This window comes from Homo sapiens, chromosome 18, assembly GCF_000001405.40.
Source record: "Homo sapiens chromosome 18, GRCh38.p14 Primary Assembly".
In the NCBI taxonomy this organism is placed as follows: domain Eukaryota; kingdom Metazoa; phylum Chordata; class Mammalia; order Primates; family Hominidae; genus Homo; species Homo sapiens.
Genome location: NC_000018.10, coordinates 38,782,340 through 38,808,515, shown reverse-complemented (window position 1 = coordinate 38,808,515; position 26,176 = coordinate 38,782,340). Strand labels below are relative to the sequence as shown.

At 36.5% G+C, this 26,176-nt stretch overlaps 1 long non-coding RNA gene across 1 annotated transcript; it reads right to left on the bottom strand.

Annotated features, from left to right (window-relative positions):
- Window positions 1-920: 920 nt before the first annotated feature.
- LOC105372077 (uncharacterized) lies at window positions 921-23,606 on the bottom strand. Its single transcript, XR_935397.2, has 4 exons — window positions 23,561-23,606; window positions 5,302-5,414; window positions 3,431-3,521; window positions 921-1,185 (listed from the first exon to the last, which is right to left on the bottom strand). It is a non-coding gene; the product is annotated as an uncharacterized LOC105372077 (long non-coding RNA).
- Between the last annotated feature and the right edge of the window lie 2,570 nt (window positions 23,607-26,176).

The window sequence follows — 26,176 nt, the reverse complement described above, 5'->3', positions numbered from 1 at the left end:
ATATAATGTGTGATTCACTCTCTCTCTCTCTCTGAAAAGCAGAAAAATCAGCACACCTTAAATCATTCCCCACTCCAGCCATACAAAGAGAATCTCTATTTCAGATTATGTTAGCATGAGTCTTGTAGTTGACATTGTTTTGTTCTCTTTTTGCTCAAAAATCAATGTAAGTTTAAATCCTATATCATAGTATTATTTGTGATAATATCCATTGTAGATTACAGGTATAGCTTTTCATCATTATCCTTTAATGCAAAGTGCTTGTGTGGGAGAGTGGCTTTCCTATATCTAATAGCACCGAAGCTTCTTGGTGCTGGGAGTTACCACAGCAAGCCCTACCTTGTTTGCAGCTGCCTGTAGTTTCCATACTCTCTTTCAGTTCTCATTCTTTGCATATTCTCTCTTCAGTTGGAGGAACAATCTTCCCCTTCTGCTTTATACGGGCTGCTCAGTGTTTACCTCCATGCCGTTGAAGGCCTTCCTCATTCCCAGTGGTGTGATGTCAACCCATACTAACTCATGAGAACCCATGAAAAATTTTTAGAGATTTTGTGACCCTATTGTTGTTATTATTAAGCACAGCCATGATTAACTTAAAATTAAGTTAACTCTATTGTAAACCATTATTAAAATACTAAAAACTAATTACTTCCTATTTTAACATGTTTTACTGTTATCTGTGCTCTTGAGATTGACATCTACTGTGTGTGCACGTTGTAAGTACTTCACCTGTGTGTGGGCTAATGTGCGTCTCTTCCCAGCTCATTATTCAGAGATATCATGGTGAAAGAACGAAACTAGCCAAGGTGAAAGATATTGGAAATCCTAAAACTCAGAGTTTGATTGTTTTATTTTATTGATTGTGTAGAGTGAGAAACTGATGGAGAAGATATTAATAATGCAGAATAAACTTAAAAGTGTGTCATGTCTCTCAGTAACACGCAAAACCGAAAAACGTATTCTTCCAGTATTATTCTGTTATTCAATTTTCTCACATCATTGATGAATGAGTAAATTTCAGATGTATATCTTTCTTGTTCCACTTTCATTCTACTCATTATCATAAATGAATATACCAAACAACTTTCATATCTTCACTACACTAGTTTATCAACTGCAGTGATAGGTTTGATAAGGATCCAAGAGTCAGCAACAATCAACAGCAGGAGTCTGAGCATCAATGGGCTATAAGAAATTTATGTTAAAGAATATTGTATATTTTATTATTTTGTTAAATTTTTGTCACACATCTTTTATATTACTAAGATTTATAGTAAATGCATGCTTGTATATAAATACATACCTTTTTTTTACACAGATAGTTGCTTGGTAAACATTTACCAGCATATCACTGATCATTCCCACCATTTCAGGTCAGGGATTTCTTTTCTGGGCATTTGTTTTACCCAGTACAAGGTTACCATACCCTATTTTGATGAGTAATTAATTATTTGTCACTTCTACCAGGTTTTGAGCCCCTAGAAGGGAGAAATGGTGCCTCCTATCTTTATATTCTTACAACTAATGTAAGGACTTAAATAAATACCATGAATAAATGGATCCCTGTTTCTAGTGTATGGGTGCAGAAATTCATGATCAGGAAATTAGGTCATTTGCCTACTATTACACAGTTAGTCAGATGCAGAGCTGGCATTTGAATGAGGGTGTGAGGCAAAGTTGCTTATTTTTGGGTAGAAAAACAAAGGTCTCCAGGATCAAAATTCCAATTTTCTGTAACAGTTTGACATGGAGGCAAGGGCGCTCTTTCTAACTACTAGAATTTATACTGATAGCTAGCAAATTGAGAGAGCAGAAATGAGGAATTTGATTGAGTTGGGGCTTGGAAAATGATACCCAAAATACAGCACTTTGACATACTGAACTAAAGGGGCAGCCTCTAGTTCTCTCTGATCTTCCTTCACTTGTGTCTTTCAAAACTTTTTCTCTCCCGTCACACAGAATGAGGCTGTTCACCGAAGTTCCTTTATCTACTTAGAAACTGGACCACCCAAAAGAAACACGATTGCCTTTCATCTCTTCCTGGAAATTTCATTAACCAGAGAAGATTAAAACCCACATCACAGAGGAATAGACTAAAAATTAAATATCACATCTAGAGTCCAGATGGACTTTGTCTCAAACTATTGTTTGTTCTTATGTCCCAGGATAATTATTCAATTCCCAAAGAGAATTATGTACTAATCATTGTCTAAACATTGGGATTATTCATTCCCCCTAAAAAATTATTTACTTCTATGTGCACCCTCATCTACCCATCCCCAGATTATATACGCATCTGTGCCCCATGAAGTTACTGAGCAATTATTCTGCAATTCCCCATGCTATGCAAGTCATAATAAATTTCTATGTCTTTTTCTTCTATTAGTCTACCTTTTGTCGGTTTCTTTTCAGCAAACCTTCAAAGGATAAAGTGGGAAACTTTCCCTCTGCCCCTACAATTATGCTTGAATACCTTTCTAAAGCCTCGGTAATCTCAGGAGACAAACACACAAGATCAGAGTCAAGCAGCTGAGAAGAGAATAAAGCATACTTGCTTAGAAATGCCAAACAGCATGGATCAGAACATGTTAGGAAATGAATATCACCCAGTGATCCTGAAGACACAGGGACAGTAACTTGAATTTGTGGTTGTTTCTTGGAACAGAGTCTGAATCAGAGGGAAGGGTGGATCTTATGATATTGTGACTGATATTTTTGTTTTTGTTTTCCCTCTCTTTATCCCCTTTCCTCCATACCTCTATGTAGGAAGAGAGTAATCAGTAGCCCTAACCTGTCACCAGGACACATTTTGTTGAACAACAGATTCCCGGAAGAAACTCCAGGTAACAAAGGCAGATAAGCTGCACACTTTTCTTCTTTGATAATAAAATCATTATTTTTGTTCCCTTAAGGACTATCTACTTACAGTGGAATTTAACATATAGTTTAATTTTCTTATCTAATCTTCCCCTTCACTTGACTAGCTTACATTTTCTGCCCCATTTAAAATCCCTTGTAATTCAAATGGCAGCAGCCTGCTTACAAAGGCTGATTGTATTGACAACTCTGAAGGAGGGAAAGTTTGGGTTTTTTTAAAAACATCCTCTCACCCCTTAGTACCTGCTACCTCCTGCCCCTATACACATTCATATAAATTTCAGTTTGTATCTCAAGTGGGTGCTGTCCTCCCGGATCTTAATTCCTAAGGAGTTGGTTTATTACATGTGATTCACCCTATCAGCTGAACTCTCTGTTGCCCTCCTTTAATTATTACTGTTTGTAAAGAGCTCAGAAGATGAATGGTGCTATAGAAGTGCTAAGCATCATGATTTCATTGTCCTATTTCAGTTCTTATTGGAATAAAGTATCATCATAATTACCAGCTTGTTGCATTTGTAACTCAGGAGGGGGAGACATATAGCAGTAATACCTTTAGTAGTTCCATTTCTGAATTTCTAGAGAAGCCACTGAATCTTGTAGTGAATTCCTGGGATCATTCTCCAGCTTCACACAGTGACTAGCTGTAGGAAAACAAACTTCCTGAACATAAATCATATATAATAGGAGAATTTTCAATAGTAGATTAAAATGTTTCTGGAATTTTTACTCAAGTGCCTTAGGTTTCTGGCTTTAATTAAATGATTATATGAATCAGGATAATCATTTAATTACACTAAGTCACAGTATTTTCACCTATAAAATGGGTGAAACATTTTGTTCATTGAGTCCAGAGGGTCATTATGAGAAGAATCAGGTTAGGTAATATACTTAAAAACACTTGGTAGCCTCAAAAAGACAGTTTAAATATTTATTATTTTATTTTTTATAAAATAAAGGAGATTAAATTTCTAGAACAAGAACATGTAATGGAGACCTTAAGAAATGTAAAATATGCTACTTAGAATTTATTTTTCTAGAGGTGAAATGATAAAAGTGACTCTGGCCCATAATTATTGACTCGAAAAGCAGAAGTCCCCTCTGGTTTACATTAGGTAGAAAGAATTTATAATGGGCCATTGGAACAAATAAAGAAGATGGTAAAGAAAGGAAGAAATAAAAGATTACTCAGAGGCCAAAGTTAAGGGAAATAGAGAAGAAAAATGGCACAGACATGAATAGGGAAGGTGGGAGAAGTGCCAAACTGAGAGGAAAGAGGATAAATGCAGCGTTGACTTCTTAGGGCCAGTAATGATCATGGTTATTGTCCTTTCTCTCATCAGTAAGTTTTATATTTGGTTGACTCTGGCTGAAAGAAAGGCAGAATTGCACCGTGGTTGAAAGTGTGGGCTTTGAACTTAGACTTCCTCTGTTCAAATCCTGGTACTTATCAGATGTGAAAGAGTTATGTTCTCTCAGCACCTTATTCTCCTGTTTTCTGGATTCTATTTGTGCTAATAAGAAGTCACCTGATATTTTTTCTTATCTTTTGAAGATTCATTCTCACCTTTCCCCTCACCCTTAGATCTTCTCTTTGTCTTTGTGTTCTCTAGTTTTATTAGACAATATGTAGGAGGGGGTGTCTTGGGATTTCTTGTAATATATTGTGTTTGAGGTTCTTTGGATTCTTGAATTCATAATTCCTAAGAATCCTTCCTTTACTTTTCAGCTCATAAGTGCATTAATGAAATAGATACATAGATACATAGATGAGTACATGGATGAAAAGATAGGGAGAGGATGGATAGATGATAGATAGATTTCAAGAGGTTTCACTGTTTTCTACTAGCTGCCTTATTATTATAAACTTGGAAACCATCTTGTTCTATATCCAAGCTGAATATCACCACTACCCTTCCATATCACAACCAGGAATTTCGAATACACAGAGAACCCAGATGGCTGTGGTGATCATATCTTTGTGACTCTGTTTATATTTTCACCTTTTCCCCACTCTCTGGCAAACACTAATTCAGAAGACTTTGAAAAAAATCAAAAGTAATTTCTCTTCAAGAAGAAAAAAAATGAATTTATCCAACCATTCAAGAGATGAGGGTAAGTTTTACCTCCTGAGAAGAGGAAAAGCTGAGGTTCAACTCTGTTGAGCAAACTGTTACCAACAATTGGTGTGATTTTTCATAAGCAATGTATCTTCCTTAAAATTTCTAATCTTCTATCTCTAATATGAAGGGATAGAAATAAAAATCTTAAGGCTTCACCATACTTTAAAAAATTGTATAAATCTTGATTATTAAGACAATGCCTTTAGAAAAAGTTATTGCACATTCAAACCACTTAGGAGATACCGCTGCTGACAAGCCCATGTGAAGAAATAAGTTTAGTGGAAGATTTCAGAGCACTTACTATGAATGGGGTCTATGGATGCTCATCCAGTCACTACTGGTCTTACTTTGGGATCCCAGGGCATATGTTCCAGGCTCTGCCCTTGTCCTTGTTGCATCCAGGCATTTCTAAATCTAGTAGAAAAAAGTTATGGCACAAAAGGTATTGAAACCATGTTGTACCAAATGTTCAGGTAAAAGGCCTCACCCCACCTATTAACACATTGGATGTTATTCCAGATATAATTATAGATTCAAAATTTTACTTAGAAATATGTAATCCGTAACCAGATTTTGCCTATCTCATCAGTATGCACTCATAAATGTCAATAATCAACAATTTCAAATGATTTACACTGAAGGCTAAATCCCTTTCAGAAATTATGAGGAGCTAAAAGATTGATAGCTCATACCTATATAGAGGTCAGACTCCACATAGATCTCTAATAAGTTTACAACCCCAGATACTCAAGTCTTCTTTTAATGAAGACATAAACCTCACAGAAATGTTCACGCTTACTGATAGGCCTATTTTCCGTTCTGCCATTTTGCTTCTATCAGCCTTGTTTCCCAGACTGATTATTAAACATATCAAATTATGTTACTGTACTGTGGCCCCTCCAGTGAGTCGCCATTTGGGGTTTTGTTGCAGTTTGTGATGAAGTATGCTCACGAAATACCATTTGATGACTACTGCCCCACCTACAGCAAATGAGAAGCAGGCAAGACACATTTGGGAATTTCTTCTAAGACTATAGGTAATTGTAGTGCCACTTGGACCCTGTTAGTTCAAAGCACACCCAGGAAGCTCAGTGGGATTTCTTCACTTTTTGGGTTTCAGGAACAAACCCAAAATGGAGGTAATGGTCAATCCTTTAATCATTTACTGCAATTGTATAAGCAACAGGTTAAAACCAAAGAAAGTTTTGACACCTCTCATTTTATTCTCTTTCATGGAACAAAATGCCTTTTGAGAGTCAGGTAGACCAGTACAGATGTGAGAGGAAGAGCCACAGGGGTGGAGGAGAACTAAGGGAAGACAGTGAAGGAGGAGCAAATGCCAAGTGAAGTAAGAGCTAAATAATGATTCTATGATTTAGCAAAAAGTTTACTGCAGGTTATTTTAGGAAGGGCAGATTTAAGCAGGTTTGGTAAATAGTTGAAGAAGTTCTCAGAATTACATAGGAGAACCAGTTGCTGAGATGAAATTAGATACTTACAGCCATGGGCAGTAGGGTGCAGTAGAAAAGACCAAGGTGTCAGACTTAGGACAGGATTATAAGACTTGCTTCTAGAGCAGCTTATGCTGTTAAATCACAGAGTGACCTTAAGCAAGTCATTAACACTCACTAAGCCTTTGAGTCCTCGTCAGTCACAGTGGGGGTCTTTGTTTCTCCTGCCAGTGAGATGCAAGGTTGTTATTTAGAGAACTTCGTGCATGGAAGCCAGTGATGCATGCTGAGAGGATGCCAGGGCACTAGGAGGAGTACAAAGGTAAAGCTGAAAAGGATGTAAGAGAATAGGACTTACATAGGAGAAGGCTGTGTAAGCATATGCTAAGAAGAAATAATGGAGAAAGAAAAAAAGGAACTTAAAGTAAAATTTAAAAAAAGGAAATGAAAAGACTAACACCAAAAATGAAAGTGCCCAATAAAACTATAAGGTCAACAGCAGTAGGAGTAAAATGCTGGCAAGTAGAGATACCTTATGTGCAGAAGGGGTTCCTGTGTGTGTGTGTGCATATAGAATATATAAAAGATATATTATACATCACATGTTATATATAATATATACATAATATAATCTATACTATAATTACATATTATATGTAATGCATAGGAGAATTAAATGAGATACACATATTCATTCACACACATAGCACTTGATTCATTAAAGATGTTAAGAAAATGCAATTGTCTGTCACTAATACCACTTATCACATGTGATCTGGAGCCACTCACTTAAAAACGAAGTCTCCATTTTCTAATTTTAAAAATGCATTTAGCTATTATGAGTACTAAAATATGCACACACACAAATACGCAAATACATGCACACCAAATAAAGTACCTGGCTTACCAACATTGTTTAATAAATAGCCTTAACTGTCATTTATAATTATCATTGTTACATAGTAAAAATATTTGTAATAGTAGGAGATATTCATGGAAATGCTAAGTAATTAGGATAAGAGAGAAGAGTGGAAGGGATGTAGGAAGAATTAAAAAATGACAGTATAGAAAAGCAAGAAAAGAGCTGAATGAGTATTCCTGCAGACGAAGAGGAAAAGAAGACAGTATGTACATATTGAGGAGTGGGAGGTATCATTTCATGGGAAGATTTGTGGGAAACAGTGACACCAGAGATAAGAGCAGAGGCCTAAGGAGAGATCACACTGTGAGAACCCTGATTATTAATTCTATTGGGTATATCAAGGGACATATTTGCTGTAATTCAAAATCTAGGATGCAAGAAATTTGATATGAGCATTGGATGAGATGATAAATTGAATTTATTATAGAGAAGGTGTCGAAAATATAAAGGACCAATACTATTCAGAGAACTTTGTGATGATTCTACTGAACAGGCCAAGGCTAAAGACCCTGTTCACTAATATGAGGATGAAACAGTGCCTATGGGCAATTTTTGTTTAAGAACTAAAATCAGTTATAGCAGTGCAGAGGACATCTAAAGATCAGCTACTGATGAAACTCAGGAAATTATTTAAGTAAAAGGCACAATAAAGTAAAGGTTTTAGATCTGGAGAATAAATACCATTTGTATAAGGAACTCTGGATAGCTTCTTGGGACAAAAAGGACACATCTATCCAGACTACACAAGAAAATAAAATAATAAAAAGGGGACCAAGAACAAAAGACAGACTCCAGAACTTTGATGGGAAAAAAATGTCCATGGAGCTGTAGCATCTGCTCAAATTAATACAGAAAAAGATGCTCAGAGTGTTGTTAACATATTCACACAAGTGTCCCTTCCTTTAATAGGCATCTTTGAGATCCTGTCTCATTTTGGGTTCTGTGATAATCTCTAGGGATAAAACCCCTTTCCAAATAATAACAAATAAGTATGCAAATAAGATAATCCTTACATTTAAGAACCCCACAGTGTACTAATAATGTACCACTAAAAACAGCTTCTGGGGGTATTAAAATATAGGAAGGAGGATAATGAGGATGAAGTGCAGGTTGTGAAATGAAAGAGGGAAAAAAGTGAGAGACAAATGTAAAAACCTGAAGAGATCTGGCAATGGAGAGAGCACTCTCATCTCTTTCCAAAGAGGCAGTTGCTCTGAAGGCTAAGGAAAAGGAACTAAGAAAACCCATTTATATAAGTCAGTAGATAGTGCTGCAGTCTTGCCAATGCACCACAATGTTTTAGTCTTGTTGTCTGAGGTAGTACATGGAGTTCTTTGTCTCAGGACTAAGAAAATTAAGGAGCATGGACACAGGGTGAGGTTGGAGTGAAAGTTTAATAAGAGAAAGAAGAAAGTTCTCTGCAGTGTAGAGGGGGCCCAAGAGGGCTGCCCACTATGAGGTTGGGTCAGGGGTCTTTTATAGACTGGAAGAGGAGGAATGTGCTGACTGGTCTTCAGGTTGTCTTGAATAAAACACTACTCAGCTTGACCTGGGACCTTGGTCGAGGACCAATCAGGGGCTGAAGTGAAAGCTTTGCCCAGGACCTTGGCCCAGGACCAATCAGAGGCTAAAGTGATGATTCATAGAGGCTCGGCTCACAGTTTAAAGTATGCCCAAAAAAGAAAAGGAAGGGGGCCACCACAGCCCATTATGTATGTGCCTACAAAGCGAGAAGACGCTATCTCCTGGAACCCCTCTGGTTACACAAAGGATAAAGGCATTTCTATGTTGGGCCTTGTTTCTTTAACTGAGTGGGCTGGAGGTTTCTGTAAGTTTCCTTATCTGAGTGGGCTAGAGGTTCTTCTACCTGTTTAGCTACCAGTGTGTTTCAGGCACAACCCCTGTGTAAGTTTATTCACTCAGATGTGGGGATGAGGCACTGACCTGTGGGTCGGGGGGCTCTCTGTGGACATTTTTCTTTCTGTCTACCTAAGGCAAGCTAGTAAACTCCTCTCAACAGCAGGTATAAACAAAACGAAAGCAACTGGACTAAAGTATATGGAACTAGGTAACAGAAAGAAAAGAGTAGAGGAATGGGTAAATTGTAAGTCTCCCACACAATGGGAAGAGGTAGGAATAGAGAATGTAAGATGTCTCATTTATACAGTTTACACAATTAACATTGGGGAATATGATTTAAAAAATAATTAAATGTCAGTGGATCAGGACAATTGATACCTGCGCCAGACATAAGAACAAGTGTGCTCAGTTGCTTTTACTTAGAATATTAGGTGACGGTGTCTCATACAGCTCAGACACCATTCATCATTTTATGTCCCACAAAGTCTGGAACAGGTGTCACTTTATGATAAAATGTACATAATGAAGCCAGTCTGTCAAGACTCAAGCTCTACCTGACTAGCTGTGTGATCATGGGCAAGCTTTTTAACCTTTTCTTCTTTACTTACCTCAGATATAAAATGTGGAAAATAGTTGCAAAAAACAGCACTTAGGATTATGTTCACAATTAGATTACCTGTGTAAAGAACATAAAGTCCTTCTGACTTAGTAAATACTCCAAAAATATCAGCCATTCTTATTAGCATCATAAGTACCATAATAAATAATTGGTTCAGAGGTGTAATAATGCCACCAAGGACTTAGTTCTTCATAACAACTTATTCTGCTAGTCTGGAGCTTAGCAAAATCTCCCTGTGGTCAAGGAACCAGTAGTTCTAAAGTTCATTTCTTCAAAAGATAATGGCCAAAAACCAGAAGAGTGGTAGTGTCTGATTATTTTCCAAATATAAATCAGGGGATATTCCTCCCCACCTTCTCTTGTTGTTAGAGAAAATGGTCTCTCCCAGAAACTTCTCAGAGGACTCGCTTATGCTTCTCTTTGCCTAGACATGGCTTATCAATCATTCTTAGTTATTGGGGAGGTCGGGACAGCAATAATTTGGCATTTTCAGCATCATTTTGGAAGACGGACTCTTTCATTAAGAAGTAAAGAAGATGTCAATGATTTTTAAATTGTTAAGCATCAATGTCTACAATATTTTGAAATATAAAGCAAAAGTCTTTTATCATAAGTGTTATTGATTTTTAAGAATTTGATAATATTCTTAAATAAGTTTGTGTTGAATTTGAAAGAAACCTGCAAATGTGATGAGTAAAAACAGAGGTTGTACTGAGTGAAGTAGATATTTTAAGCTACAGAAATATACAGAGAGTATAGATCAAACAAAGGTGAGGGGAAAAATAAGGAAGAATGAGGGAAATTTGTGTAGATAGGGTGAAGGTTAAAAAAAAGAAAAGATAAAAAAAGGTGAAGTCATTATCTATGAAGAGCTTAGAGAACCCAATCATAGTGCAACAGAGCAATGTTGGATTTGAGATAAGAACTTATTAGGTTAAAATATTGATAAAATTATTTATTTATGGTAGGAAGAAAAAAATCTATGCAGTAAAATATAAAATTATAGATTCATACTAGAAAATCTATTTGAGAAATTTAAAAAATCATCAAAAATCAAATATGTTGTTGATGAAGCAAAAGTGCTGCTAATTTTATGGCATTGTAAAAATCTCTGAAGGAACATAAAGAATGATTTTGAATTTTTTTTGCCATTGTATGTGGAAACAAGTGAAATTCCCAGGTCATTAAAATAAAATAGATTAACAATTATATTTTATGGCAATAAAGATTAGAGATTGGAGACAACAAATACTAATAAAAATTCTAGAAACTCTGAAAACGCTAAATGTTGGATCAAAAAGAGGTGGGATATTTCTAATTATTGGTCCCAATATAAGTCAGGTGACATATAACAAGAGGAAAATGGGATAGGCATTTACTTACAAGCAGCCAGCTTTTATTTGATAGATAATTTTTCATTAATATTTCATAAATATAAAGTGTGTCAGAGGAGCTGGTGTGAAATGTTCCAAATCTGTGTGTGTATGCCAGCCTGAAAATTTCATGGGACCTTTTATTGTATATCTGTAGACCTTCTCATCAAAAAAATACATTTGATAAAAGTACAGTGAAAATGTTTCGAAAGGAGCCATATGGCATAAGCTAGAATGAGCTGTGGTTTATGCACAGTGCATTAGAACAGAGATAGGAGTAAAGCTGTTCCTCAACCTCAGCAGCACTGAGATTTTGGAACAGATAATTCTTTGTTATAGGGAACATTCTGTGTATTATGGTGTGCATAGTAGCATTCCTGTTCTTTACACATTGGATAGCACCACTTCCTGGCTGTGGCAAAGAAAAATGTCTCCAGATATTTTCAAGTGTCATTTGAGGAGCAAAATTACTCCCAGATGAGAATCACTGGGATAGAGGAAAAAGGCTACCATATAATAATGATAAAGTAAAGAAGAAAATAAAGAGGAGAGGGGAAAAAATCTCAAATACTGTAATAGCAAAATGGATAGAAAAGAAGGAATGATGAATAGAGAAGAGGAATAAGAAGAAAGAAGAAAATAAGGAAAGCGAAGAAGGAATATGGTAGTCTCAGAGAAAAAGGACTTAAGAGAAAATATGACATATATAATAAATGAGAACTTCTAGAAAATATTTTTAAAGTAAAGTTGTAAAGAAAAGTTGAGAAATGAAACAAAGAATAAAGGATAAAATGAAAATTATATTAGGATATTATGTAATATCATTGTGTGTGGTAGGCATGGAGTATGTTTTCTTTTTTTTTAACATGTATTATGCTTCCATTAGGTTTTAGGTCAGATTATAAAGGGGAAATTTAATACATATGGTCCTATGAAATATTAGGATACATTTAGAAAACATCTTAGGGATCACCTATAGGAGAAAAAGGATAAAGCATAATATTTAGATTTATTTAATATTTAATATCTGCAATTTTACCCTGAATATGAAAAAGAATAATAACTAAGATTCTCCTTACCCTTGATAGGGTATACCTGTCTCCCATAAGAAATAGTGGAAGACTTAAAGGTTTTTAAAGGGTTGAGGGAAATAGAAGAAATTGAACAAAGCAGAGATACCACATATAACGTATAATCACAGTTGGATCCAGCCAAATGCTGGAAAGACTGTAGCCATCCATTAGAAGATAAGTCTTTGGTTTCCAAAGGTACCTTAGTTTAAAAATTACACCTAAATTCAAGTAGCAAAAATTATTTTAAAAAGAGAAAGTGGTCAAGTCCTCATTATAGGAAAAGAGGAAGACGAACTATCTTTGGGGCAGACTATCTGTGAACCACTGATGCACATACGTTAGTAAGAATCTGGAAGGAGCCAGAATGGTGAACTATTATTGCAAAAGCATAGGTGAGATACGTGAGGAGAAGCAATAACTTTGAGAGTATTGTGCCATAAAAAATTGATATGCAATGACTGTGTAAGTTTTACTGGTTTCCTTCAATGAAATAAGCACTGAAAATATAAATGATAGGTAAATATCCTTTATAACAAAAAAAAAAACTTCTGAGAATCAAATGAGAAAAAGGATGTAGTAGTGTGCTAAGTTGAATGAATGATTTAAAAAAGATACATGCTGTCATCTGGAACTCTAAACTCTCTCTTGTGAACTCTTAAAACATTATTTTTCACATCTGCAAGACCTACATGACACATACAGGTGTCTCATGAGGAAGGAAAAGACAGGATGAACAGGACTAGAAATTTCCAGTGACCCTCTATCTACAAGGCCACACAAAAAGCTGCAAAAGAAATGAAATGCCTGAGAATGTCTCATCATCCCTAAATTTCTGCACACATATACAGAGGCATAATTATTAATGATAGCACTAACAAGTAGTGTTAATCTCATAATCCTCCACAAACCAGATGGAATGACTTCTGGAGGTCACAAATTGGTTTCCTATCACTGTTGTCTTATATTTCTGAAGACAGTTCTCCAAACTAACACTAATATTGACAGAATTTTCCAAGGCACCTAGATTATAGCCTCCCAGTAAACAGAAATATCGTATCATTCGTATCATTCACTTTATCATCACTATTGCAGACTACTGCTATACTAAGCATGAAGTGGGTATTCAAATATTAAATTTAATATTAATTTAATACATAATATTAAAATTCAAATATTAGACTGAAATGAGTGGAATTAAACTGATCAGAAGAAATACACATAATGAAAATTGAAACAATGTATTGAGCCACAAGAATTATAGTTTTGCATTGGCAATAGGTTAAAAATAATTGTGCATGAACTCAATATTCTCAGCAATGCAGGGAAGGTGAACCAAAAGTAAACACTATGGTAAACACTACGGTGAAATAGTACTACTAAACTCCTTTCTCTGTCATTCAATGACTCTTACAATGTGGTTACACGTTTTCCTCTCGATATAATCTTTCATTTCACAACGCGAGTATTCTCTTTCAACCAAAGTTGACTCTCCCCTCAAACATACTTTGCATGAGTTTTAGCTGGCATTAGCTCTTGCTTGCAATGCCTTTCTGAGTACATGTATACAAATCTACTTGTCTTTCCAGGGAAGTCACTAACACCACTATCTACATCCAGATTTTGTAACCTCCTCTAACTCTCAGATGTCTATAGCATGTTTAGTCACACACATATTTATTAAATACTGTATTATTCTCTTTCCTGTGTTTCAGTGTTGCCTTCCCTACTTGATTATAAGGTACTTGAGGATAATGCCCTCTTTATTACAGCCCAAGACTACTATTTAATAAAATTGTATTAATTAATTGATTGCTAGGTCCAAATTTTAAAAGGTGTAATCAATTATAACAACTTATTCTTCAGATAAAATCTACCTTTAGTTATCTAGAAAATTTAATCTTAAGAAGTGTACAAGTAGAGATTTTGACTCATGTATTTTGGTGATGAATATTCTGGGTAGATTTTAGTTTTTTAACATAAGAAAAAGGAAAGAAAGCATAGGCAAACAAATCCTGTTTTGGGTCTTTCCTCTTTTCATCACATAGAAAGAGTTGGCTGGCAGTGCTCAGAACCCTAGAGTCTGAGTATATTGTAAATACAGTCTAAAGCACACCCAAAGGATTCTCATATTAAAATGGAGAGTGTATTTTTTTTTAAAAAAGAACTGTGCTCCCATAGTCTTCTATTGGAGCCTTCCACAGGAGTTGATAAAAGATTGTCATTAGTCCTAGAACCAAAGAATTTGAAACAGGGAGCAAAAAACCACAGGGCTAATACAGTTGGATTGGGATCTACAGGTGTTGGTGAAAATCTTAGGTATCTTCATGGTTGATATAAAACCAGCTCTATCTGTCTATGTCTATGTCTATGTCTCTATCTATCTATCTATGTAATCTACATATCTATTGAATTGTGGAAGTAGTATGTTGAAATAATTGAGTGAAGACATTTCAGATTTGAACTTGGCATATGAGTGGACTGAACCACAATATATTAGTGGAAAAATTATAGAAGGAAGTATCAGTTTATTTCTATTTACCTGTCTTTTGTCCCAATTTATCAGCTCATTAACAGTTCTCCTAACATTTGTGTTGGGGCTATTGTAAAACCCAACACTAACATTCTTTTTGTTGCTTGTTTCTGGACAAAGCTAAGAAATTTGCCTGTAGACCAGGAATATAGCATCTGTCATGTTGCTCCCTTTTTCTTACCCCAGATTCTGTATATTGTGGCCCCAAACTCCATAGAAAGAGCTTTCCAACTCACTGCTCTCTGCTTGCAGGCAATGGTGCATACTGTTCATGATCAAATTGAAGTTTTATTTGTTGCACTATTGGTTGTTTTGAAATATGATTTGGGCAGAGTTGAGCATCCCTAGCTGTCTTCAACACACTGGGTAATCACACCATTGCTCAGTAGGCTAAACTATTTTAAATCTTTCAAAAAAATAGCTTCTCTCCTTTCTGCAGGTTTTCCAGGAACAATCTCCATGAAAACGACTCCTAATTTAAAGGAAACTAAGGCATTCCTCACCACTGACAAGGAAAATGACTCTTTTTGGCCAAATCATAGAAATGAGCTTTCTTAAGTACATTGCACCTTTAAAAGCTGACATTATTGCCGCAAAGCCTGAATGGTACCTTGTCAGCATGGAATAACCAGACTGGGCCAAGTTGTCATTTTTGACAGGTCAGTGTAATGAGCAAAAGAACGCTGAGTTTGTCTAAAAGTTTTCACTTGCATCAGCAGGGTAGAGCTGTTTGAGGCGATAACAGCCCTACGTATGTGACTCATTAAATGTGTTGCATTATCAAACATTGTGTCCCACACTATCACAGCCACCACATTTATGCTTTGTTTCCTCCCCCAAGTACCCCCCAGAAGTCTTTACATTTCTAATTTAAAATGAGTACACATTGCAGAGCTTTGAGGCACTGGATATTAGCTGTGTGTGATTAGATGAATACCAAACGTTCGGTTCCTTTCAAAACACATCACAGAGATAAATACTAATCTAACTCAATGTAGACTTCTCTCTGGACATTTCTCCCCTATTTTCTGGAATTTCTCTGGTAACATTTTTGTTATTAAGAAAAGAGGGGCAGAGAATAAATAAAAGGAACAAACAGGAATTGGGTAATATTGACATCCAATGGCCCTTCTGAATTACTGGTGACAGTTGATATACATGGTGCCTATTTACACATGCCGAGGAACCTGCACAAAGAGTTACCATTTGGATAGGAAGCACAAATGCAGAGATGTGAGATCACCTGAATTCAGATTTGTCAATAGATAGCAAAGCTTGAGGGTTCAGCTTCTTCCAGTGTACCAGCTAGCTGCGATGCCCTCTCTTAATCAGATGCATCAAACAACAGAAAACATTCTTCCCCCGCTTCAGAAAAATTCACTTAATGTTCATGACTAATTAAATTCTCACTCTAGTCATGATTAATGTAACAAATAATTACAGCTTAGATCTAATATAGATACAACTAATTGTTCTGCCCACAGTGCATCGTGAATAACAATTAAACACAGCTTTTAAAGCATAAGGAAGAACTGCAGAGTGACCTTCACCTGGCTTTATAGCGTCTGTTCTCCTCATTTCTCGTTTCATGGAAAAAGGTTTTTTATTTGTTTGTTTGTTCACATTTCTCTTTTATTTGATGTTAGGTAAGCCTTACTTCTTTACACTTCTTGCCACTGGTTCAACTTGTTGGATGTTGGAGTTAGCAAGTGGATCACTATTAGAAAGTAGTAGAGGGAGGTTGTATCAACTGAATTTTCCCCAAGGCTCAAAGTGCAAAAGTGCCCTTCACATTGTCATAGTGAAAGATAACAGGGAACTGTCAAAGCTCAGACAGCAAAGTAACAAACCTGGGCCATGTGTCTGTCTGCTTTGGTACCAGTAAGTCCCATCCCAGGAGAATTTTTTTTTCTTTTATTCTGCAGCCCTAAAGTGGAAGGGACTGCAGCTGAGTTGCTGGAGAGACATTGGGATGATCTCTGAATATACAGTCCACCACTGCAAGCATTCACAGAACCTTTTGGGGATTCTCACAGATGTGGATTAAAACAAAGTTCCTAGTTTTCTTAAATATCCGATAGTATTAAAATTGATAACTTCCCCACATACTTTGGCAAATAGGGGGTGCATTGAATGCTCTACTGAAGATCTGCTTACACAATTAGTATATAAATTTCCATATCTATCAACTACTTTGCCTTTCCTCAACAATTACAAAAATTCCTTTTTTTCAAGGAATATTAAGCATAAGTTATCTATATGAATTAAAACTCCATTAATTAAAATGCCCAGGGAATGAAACCTCAGATATAAGTATGCTTCAAATAATATTTTTAATATGCTATTACTAATATTTTTAAAATATACGAGGCCAGTTTCTTGACTTGGTAGAATCTAGTAGACAGACTATTATTTTACTGTTTAAGAAACTAAAGACATTTTGGATAGATTTGGGAGCCAGAAATAGAAAATTCTATTTGTACAATTTACATAATTAATCTGATACAATTCTTCTAAATATATTCACAGCTATGTAATAATTTATATTGTTTGAATATCTACCAGGTGACCAGTTTTTGTCTAGTGATAGTGAGTCAATAATTTCTACTTTTTTATCTTCACTGGATAAAGTATATGTAATTCTAGACAGCATTCAGTTAAACTAAACTCCAACTCAGGCCATGCAGGGCAAAGTTACTCACACAGCACAAAGCTAACACTGCAGACATCTGTCCTCCTCCACACTTTCAGTGCTTTGTTTTTCACAGCAAACTTTGCAATGACACATTTTTTATTTAACCAATAATTTTTGGCTAAGTTTCTCTACACATTTTAGATAAATTCTGTCCCCCGTAAGAACTAGTTTTGAAGAAACTGGTTGGATGCTAAAATTTAAGTAGTGACAATAATACTACTAGCCAGATACAGATGTGGTGTGTTGATCTGAAATTTCTTGGTTCATTCTTTTCAATGAATTCCACCTTTTTCACTCCATGTATGAGTTCCTATTCCAATTGCTTTCCAAGTCTTTCATTTCCTTTAGAATTCAGACCTTGTCTTACTCTAACCAATCTTACTACCCTTAAGCTCCAATAATTCATGTCAATAAGACTTGAAGGATGTGTTGTGTGGACAAAATGAATGGGGCAGCAAACTCAGAGAGCCATTGTGTCTTGCCATCTTTGTACCCGCAGGGGGCAGAGCAGAGTGCCAATGATCTAGGGGTGGCTGAAATATGTTCATAATGGATGAGTGGATGGATGAAAGAGTACTGCAGAAGACAGTTTTGTGGTAGATATTTCCTCTGGCCCCTATGGTGCCCATTAGTATCTTCCATGGTTAATTTTCTATGGCAACATTATTCTATGATAAGCACACAATTCCTCAGAAGCCCGCATTTTTAGAAATTTTAGTATGTAGACAATCAAATTTGACAGGGTCATTGGATGGTCACAACCATCTTCAAATTTCCAAAGAGGATTGAATTTAAAAATAGACTCAACATGTAATTTTTATAATTCAGCCTTTTCTGTATAAAATTTTAAAAACAAATATGAATATTTACAGCCATTATTCAAACTTTTTAACCACCAAAGACACTCTCCTTAGTTTATTTCCATATGATGCTAAATATTTGAGATGCCATCAGCAACTAATCAGAGCTTCTATCTAGTTTAAAAACACAAAGGACATTCATTATTTGGACAGTAAAATGATATAATTTCAGCCTCAAGCAAATTGACTCAAATGTACTTATTCTTTGCAGCTCCATCATGAGTAAATATATGATTTTTGATAGACTTCTTGAAATATTGAAAATAACTTGTGAGTAGGATCCTCACCCTGTCCATTATGACCTTGCAAGAATCTGAAGGATTCAGGGGCTCTAGGTTAGGAACATAGCTTATAAAAGCATTAAATCATATAAAGATGGTATTTTATGTCAAATCTTTACATATATATATATATATATAGCTTACACATACATACACACACACACACACACACACACACACAGAAAATATTTCTTGGCTGCCCAAAGTGTGAGATTTTCTATGACCCCTTTATTTTTATTCTGTGTAAGCTCCTTTAGATTACTAAAACCCATAACAAAGACAAATTAAATTTACTCTAATTTTAGACATTACTGAAGAAATTCTGTAATCTTTGTTTCATTTGGAAGCAAATAAATAATATTTGTATCTTGACATATTTATCAGTGGTATGCTCATTTCAAGCTGGTTTTCTGGGAGACTTTAATTTATAGCTCCTATTATTTTGTTTTTCTTTTTAGATCTCAAAATGAATGTCATGCCCATGAAAACCACCAGACAGGAAACTAAAGTCTTGTGTTTATTCCTAGTCCCTAAATCACCATGGGACTGGAGGAACGTCATCTGTAGGAGCCTGGCTTTGTGAAAATATTGTAAGAAAATGGAAATCAGAGGTTCCAACAGCAGAACAGTTACTCTACAATCACTTCATACCACAGGCTTTTGAAGACAGTAGTATCATGGCTACAATCTCAAAATGCTATTTAAAAAAATATAATTCCTTTCTAACTTACAAAGCCTCTATTTCTTTCCTGAACCATTCTCCTTTGATCAGACCCGCTGGTTTCACCCTTCGAATAAATTTTACATGTTGCTGATCTGTTTCTTTGTTCAGAAGAAAAACACTCTCCTTTCCTTCCATCCTTTCTGCATCTTTCTAGACTTTGAAGCTCAGTTCAGTTGTCCTCAACTCTGTGACGCTTTCTTCAACCACATCACACTCCTGACAGTGCCACTGTTCGATTAGAAGTCTCCACTCACAACTGTCAAGAGGATCACCTGAGCAATGTGTAAAGAATAATCATGTTTGGGCCCAACCCAGGCCAAATATCTTGGCTTGGAAAACTAGTTTCGATGAGTTTTAAATGTGTCACAGTTGAATACAAACTGAGTATCTCTTAATGAAATTTCTTGGGACCAAAAGTGTTTCAATTTTTTTTTTGGATTTTGAAATATTTGAATATGCTTAATGAAATATCTTAAGGATGCAGCACAAGTCCAAACACAAAATTCATTTTTGTTTATAATACACCTTATACACATAGCCTGAATGCAATTTTATACAATATTTTAAAATACTTTTGTGTATGAAACAAAGTTTGTGTACAATGAACCATCAGAAAGCAAAGATGTCACTATCTTAGCCACTCATGTGTACAATCTGTGATTGTATGGCATCACCATGATTTCTGACTCTGATTTTATGTGCTACCAGTAAGCCAGCATTTCCTTGTCCCTATTTATACATAAGTACTTAACAGTAAAATATATGACATGTCATTAGTACTGGGAAAAGATAATGTGTTCAGGGTAAATAAGCGGCACGTAGCATCACCAGAATACCTGTATCAGCTCTTAAACAATAGCGACAACAAACAATGCCAGGCTTTCCAATCTCTACCTACAATAGTGTACTTTGATTAAAAATTTACTGTACATGGTCTTTTATGTTTTCAGGTGAGAAGGAACATCAGATTCAGGGACCAGGAAGTGGGTCTTCTAGTGATGAGGAGGCATTCTGCTGGATAGCTTTTTAAAATGTTTTCTCCAGAACCATCTGCCTCATTAACAATATTTTTTGTTTGGAAATCTCTCTTTGATTTTATAAACTGACATAATTTCTTGTTCTGTTGCAAATGCATCCTTTCTAGCACTTCAATAAGCCCATCATACATTTTTACCATGTTGTCTATAGGTACATTTTCTGTAGTGTTAGCAATCTTATCTTTATCATCACTATTTTCATGATCACCTTGATTCAGAACCATTGTGGTTATTTCATCAACAGTCAATGAATGAACAACTGGAGCCTCATAATCAATGTAGAAAACTTCAATATCCACTTCCTGCTTACTGACTGCCTCTGAAGATATATCTTTTGCATACATAAAGAGGTCATATATCACTTTTTTCTCACTTGACATACGGAATCCTTCAAAGTCACTATCTTGTTTAATATCATCACTGAACATAATTGCACACCAGAGGTTGTGCCAGACATGCACAACTGTGTCCTTACTCACTGTGTTCTAAGTATTAGCAACAGCATATAGGGCATCTTTTATGCTAAATTCCTTTTGAAAATCTTCCACACCCATACCTCTGTTCACTGCTGCTAACATGCTGTTCAAGAGAATGATTTTATATTTACTCTTCATTTATCTAAAGATACTCTAGTCACATGGATGAATTAAGGAAGTTACATTTGGGGAAAAGTACATGGCATAAACATTATTTTTGATGAGAATTTCTGCTGGAGGATGAGCAGAACAATTGTCAAGGAATAACAAAATCTTGTAATACTCGTCCATTCTAGCTTCCCTGCAGTGAGCACAAGCCGCTGGTAAAAAATATGCATGAAACCAGTCAGAAAGGATGTCCCTGGTGATCTATGTCTTGTGTTAGCAAAATAATAGAGTGATAAGAAATTTACTCTTTGAAAACAGTGTGGATGCAAACTTATTCTTATCACAGCAAGTTGACATTTATGTATGCCTGCTGCATTAGCATATCCCAGCACTGTTACTTGTTAGCATCTTTAGTTCCTGGGGTAACTGTCTCATCAGCTGTACTCTATGTCTTTCTGGAGCAATAATACCAAACAGTCAGAATACATCAGCATTATAACTTTGTTGTTGTGTAAAACTTTTATCAGCAAACCTTGGCAAACCTATCAATGAACTTTTCCACTGCTTCATAATCAGCAGATGCTTTGTCTCCACAAATCTTTATAAATTTAATGCTGTGTCTTTTCTTTAATATCTACAATCAGTCTTTTGAATATTCACAGTTCCCTTCAACTTTCAGTTCGTGATAGATGATAGATCTTTGCTTGTTTCATGATCAGCATACAATTATGTGGCATGTGTTCACTGCAATGCCAGTGGATCCACTCTTTAATACACATTCAAGATCTTCATTTTCACCTTTTGCAGTGTTTTTCTACTTTTCGTCTTTTTTTTTATTTCTGAGACAGAGTTTTGCTCTTTTGCCCAGGCTAGAGTGCAATAGCATGATCTTGGCTCACCGCAACCTACATCTCCCAGGTTCAAGCAATTCTCTTGTCTCAGCCTCCTGAGTAGCTGGGATTACAGGCATATGCCACCATGCCTGAGTAATTTTGTATTTTTAGTAGAGATGGGGTTTCTCCATGTTGGTCAGGCTGGTCTCAAACTCCAGAAATCAAAGTGCAGGGATTATAGGCATGAGCCACCGTGCCTGGCCTTTTCTATTTTTTATTAACTTCTGTTCTTCACTTTCAGCATAGAACTTCAATAGTTTATTCTTCTGCTTATTTAAGTCCCATATAGTGGTCATTCTGACACCATATTCTCCTGTAAGATATTTCACACTTACACTGCTGTCTGGTTTCTCCAACAGCTTGGCTTTCTAGACTATAGATAAATATAAATGCTTTCTCTTTTTCTTATCACCGTTATCCACAGAGGTATCTTCAGGCCTTTTTGACATTTTCAGTGATATCTTCTCACCACAGGGCAGAGAACAAGCAAATGAACACAATAAGTAATTCATGTAGGTGGGGTATTGTGGGGCATTGCCCATGTGGGGCATTGTGGGGAACTTGCCATTGATGCATACAGCCCACACACATGCCATTTATCCCCCTTTTTGGATATACTTTGTGGGGAAATATGGGCATGCATGGAAAACACATGTTGCAGGTAAAGGGGGCTGAAAGGGGTTTTTCTTCCCTTGAGGACACAATAAGCTGTGTGTTGTGCTTCTGCATTTTGATTGATACTCATCATATGAGGTCAGGTGGGGAAATTTCCATTTACGGTGTCATTTTGACACTCAATTCATTTCTAATTCTAGAGAATTTTGGATTTTAGATTTTCAAATTGATGCTCAAGCTGTACAAAGTGTAGCTGAGATTGAATTGCACTGATCCATACTAATTTTAGATGCACCTGTAAGTTGAGATAAGCAGATAGCAGCAATGATGTCCTACATAACCTAGGGAAAAGGAAAGTTCATCTGGGCAAAATAGTGAAAAGAATCCAGAGCTTTACTCTCTTTTCTCTTTTTCTCGCTATCCTTTTTTTTCCCTCTGTTTCCCTTTTTCTTCTCTAGCAGCACTGATGCACCAATAAGTCTCTCTATTCCCACCCAACAATACAATAGAAAAGCACTTCAAATTCAATATTCTATAAAATGTTTTCCAATTTTGAAATCTGGTGATTTATTTTTATATCTATAATGTAGTCACCAAATACTAAAAATTTACCAACAAATAAAAGGACAAAATACTGCCTGAGAGCTATGCTGATCCCACTTTCCATCAAGGCCAGATAATCTCCTGCATTTTAGTGCCTAAGCAGTTATCATTCTGTGTCCACATTCCAAACTCATCAACAAAGTTGTAAGACCTTCTGGGCAAATACAAGGTATGATTCCCCACATAAATCTTAAACACTAGTACATAATTTAAGTAGGCACTCAACTCTGATTGAAATGTTGATAAAAAATGTTATAGACAATTGTGATTAACTTACTAATTGTGCTATTCTTTGCTTATTGTCTGTTCCTCAATATGAACCAATGGTTCTAAACCTTGTGTACATATTGGAAACACCTAGAGGGTTATAAAAAATATTACCCAATTATTTAAATGCAGAATCTCGGGTCCTGCTCAAAAACAAATGAATCTGAGCTCACCTTTTAAAACGGTTCCCAAATAATGCTATATCCTTCAAAGATCAAGACTGGCTAGAATCTAGAGTGTCAAATAGTTCTCAAATTTAATAATGCATTAGAATCATCTGGAGGTCTTATTAAAACACCAAGTTGCTTGGCTCCTTCCTCAAGAGTTTCTAATTCAGTGGATATCAGAATGCTACCTGAAATGATGAGGATTTTCAGGATGAAACCTGAAAATTTGAATTTCTGACAAATTCACAGGTGATGATAAATGACATAGCTTGAATATTTGTCCTTTTCCAAATGTCATGTTAAATTGTAATTCCCATTGATTGAGCTAGAGCCTTGTGGGAGGTGTTTGGATCATGGGGGCTGATCCTTCATGAATCGTTTGGGTGATTCTCTTGGTAATAAGTGAGCTCTCACTCTGACTTAACATGAGATCTGGTCATTTAAAAGTGTATGGCACCTCCTTCTCCAGTGTCTCTCTCTTTTGCTCCCACTTTCACTAGGATGTGTCTGTTCCGACTTTATCTTCCACCATGATTAAGTTTTTTGAGGCCTCTCCAGAAGCCATGCAGATTTTGGCACGATGTTCCCTGTAAACTCTGCAGAACTGTTAGCCAATTTCTTTATAAATTACCCACTCTCAGGTATTTCTTTATAGGAATGCTAGAATAGCCTAATACAGAAAATTGGTACCAAGGAGTAGGGCATTGCTATAAGGATAACCCAAAAATGTAGAAGCAACTTTAGAACTGGATAGCAGAGAGATGTTGGAAGAGTTTGGAGGACTCGGAAAAAGAAAGGAAGATGAGGGAAAGTTTGGAACTTCCTAGAGACTTGTTTAATCGTTGTAACCAAAATTCTTGTAGTGTTATGAACAGCAAAGGCCAGGCTGATGAGGTCTCAGATGGAGATGAAGAATTTTTTAGGAGCTGGAGCAAAGGTCCCTTTTGTTACACCTTAACAAAGAACTTGGCTGCCTTGTGTCCCTGCCCTAGGGATCTGTGGAACTTTAAACTTAAGAGTGATCATTTAGGATATGTGGTGGAGGAAATTTCTAAGCAGGAAAGCATTCAAAATTTGGCATGGCTGCTTCTAATAACCTATGCTCATTCGTGGGATCAAAGGATGACTTAAAGTTGGAACTTATGTTTGAAAGGGAAGCAGAGCATAAAAGTTTGGAAAATTCACAGTTTGGCCATGTGGCAAAGAATGAAGTTTTTTCAGGAGACGAATTCAAGCAGACTTGGAACAATCACTTGCTAGAGAGATTTGCATAACTAAAAAGGAACCAAGTGCTGATAGCCAAGACAATGAGAAAAAGCCTGCAAAAGCATTTAAGAGATCTAAGAGGCAAGCCCTCTCATCACAGGCCTGGAGGCCTAGGAAGAAATAATTGTTTTGAGGGCCAGGCCAAGGACCTCACTGCCCTGAACAGCCTCGGGACACTGCTCCCCATATCCTAGCCATGCCAGATCCATCTGTGGCTCCAAGGGCCCAGGTACAGCTCGAGTTGCCACTTTGGAAAATGCAAGCCATATACCTTGCTGGATTCCAAATAATATAAGCCTGCAGGTATAGAGAGTGCAAGACTGGTGAACTTTCAGCAACCTTGGTCTAGATTTCAGAGAATGTATGGAAAAGCCTGCGTGTCCAGGCAGAAGCCTCTTGAAGAGGCAGAGCCCTTACAAAGAACCTCCACTAGGGCAGTGTGGAAGGAAAAATGTGGGTTTGGAGGTGCCACATAGAATTGCCACTGGGGCACTGCGTAGTGGAACTGTGGGAAGAGGCCCACCACCTAATCAAGAAAGATGGATCCCCCAGCAGCTTGCCCCCTGCTTCAGGAAAAGCTGCAGGCACTCAACTCCAGCCTGTAACAGTAGCTTCAATGGCTGCACCCTACAAAGCCAGAGGTGAAGCTGCCCAAGGCCTTGGGAACCCACCCCTTACACCAGTGTGCCCTAGATATGGGATGTGAAGTCAAAGGAGATTATTTTGGAGATTTAAGATTTAATGATTGCTCTGCTCCATTCTGAACTTGAGTGGGGACTATAGCCTCTCTCTTTTGTCAAATTTCTCCCTTTTGGAATAGGAATGTTTACCAAATGCCAAAATTCCCATTGTATCTTAAGAGTAAAAACTTATTTTTAATTTGACATAGTCATAGGTTGAAGGGTCCTATCTTGTTCCAGATGAGACTGTGGGTTTTGAACTTTTAAGTTAATGCTGGAATGAGTTAAGATTTGAGTAGAATTATTGGAAAGGCATAATTGTGTTCTACAATGTGAGAAGGACATGAAATTTGGGAGTGGCGAGGAGTGGAAGAATATACTTTGGATATCTGTTCCTGCCCAAATCTCATGTTGAATTGTAATCTCCAACGATGGAGGTGGGTCCTGATGGGAGATGTTTGGATTATAGGGGCAGATCCCTCATGAATGGTTTGGGCCATCCCCTTGGTGATAAGTGAGCTCTCACCCTGAGTTCACGCAAAATCTGGTTGTTTAAAGGTGTGTGGTAACCCCTGCTCTCTCTCTCTCTCTCATTCCTGCTTTCACCATTTGACAATGCTTGCTCCCCTTCACTTTCCACCATGACTGAAAGCCTCCTGAGGCCCCTCCAGAAGCC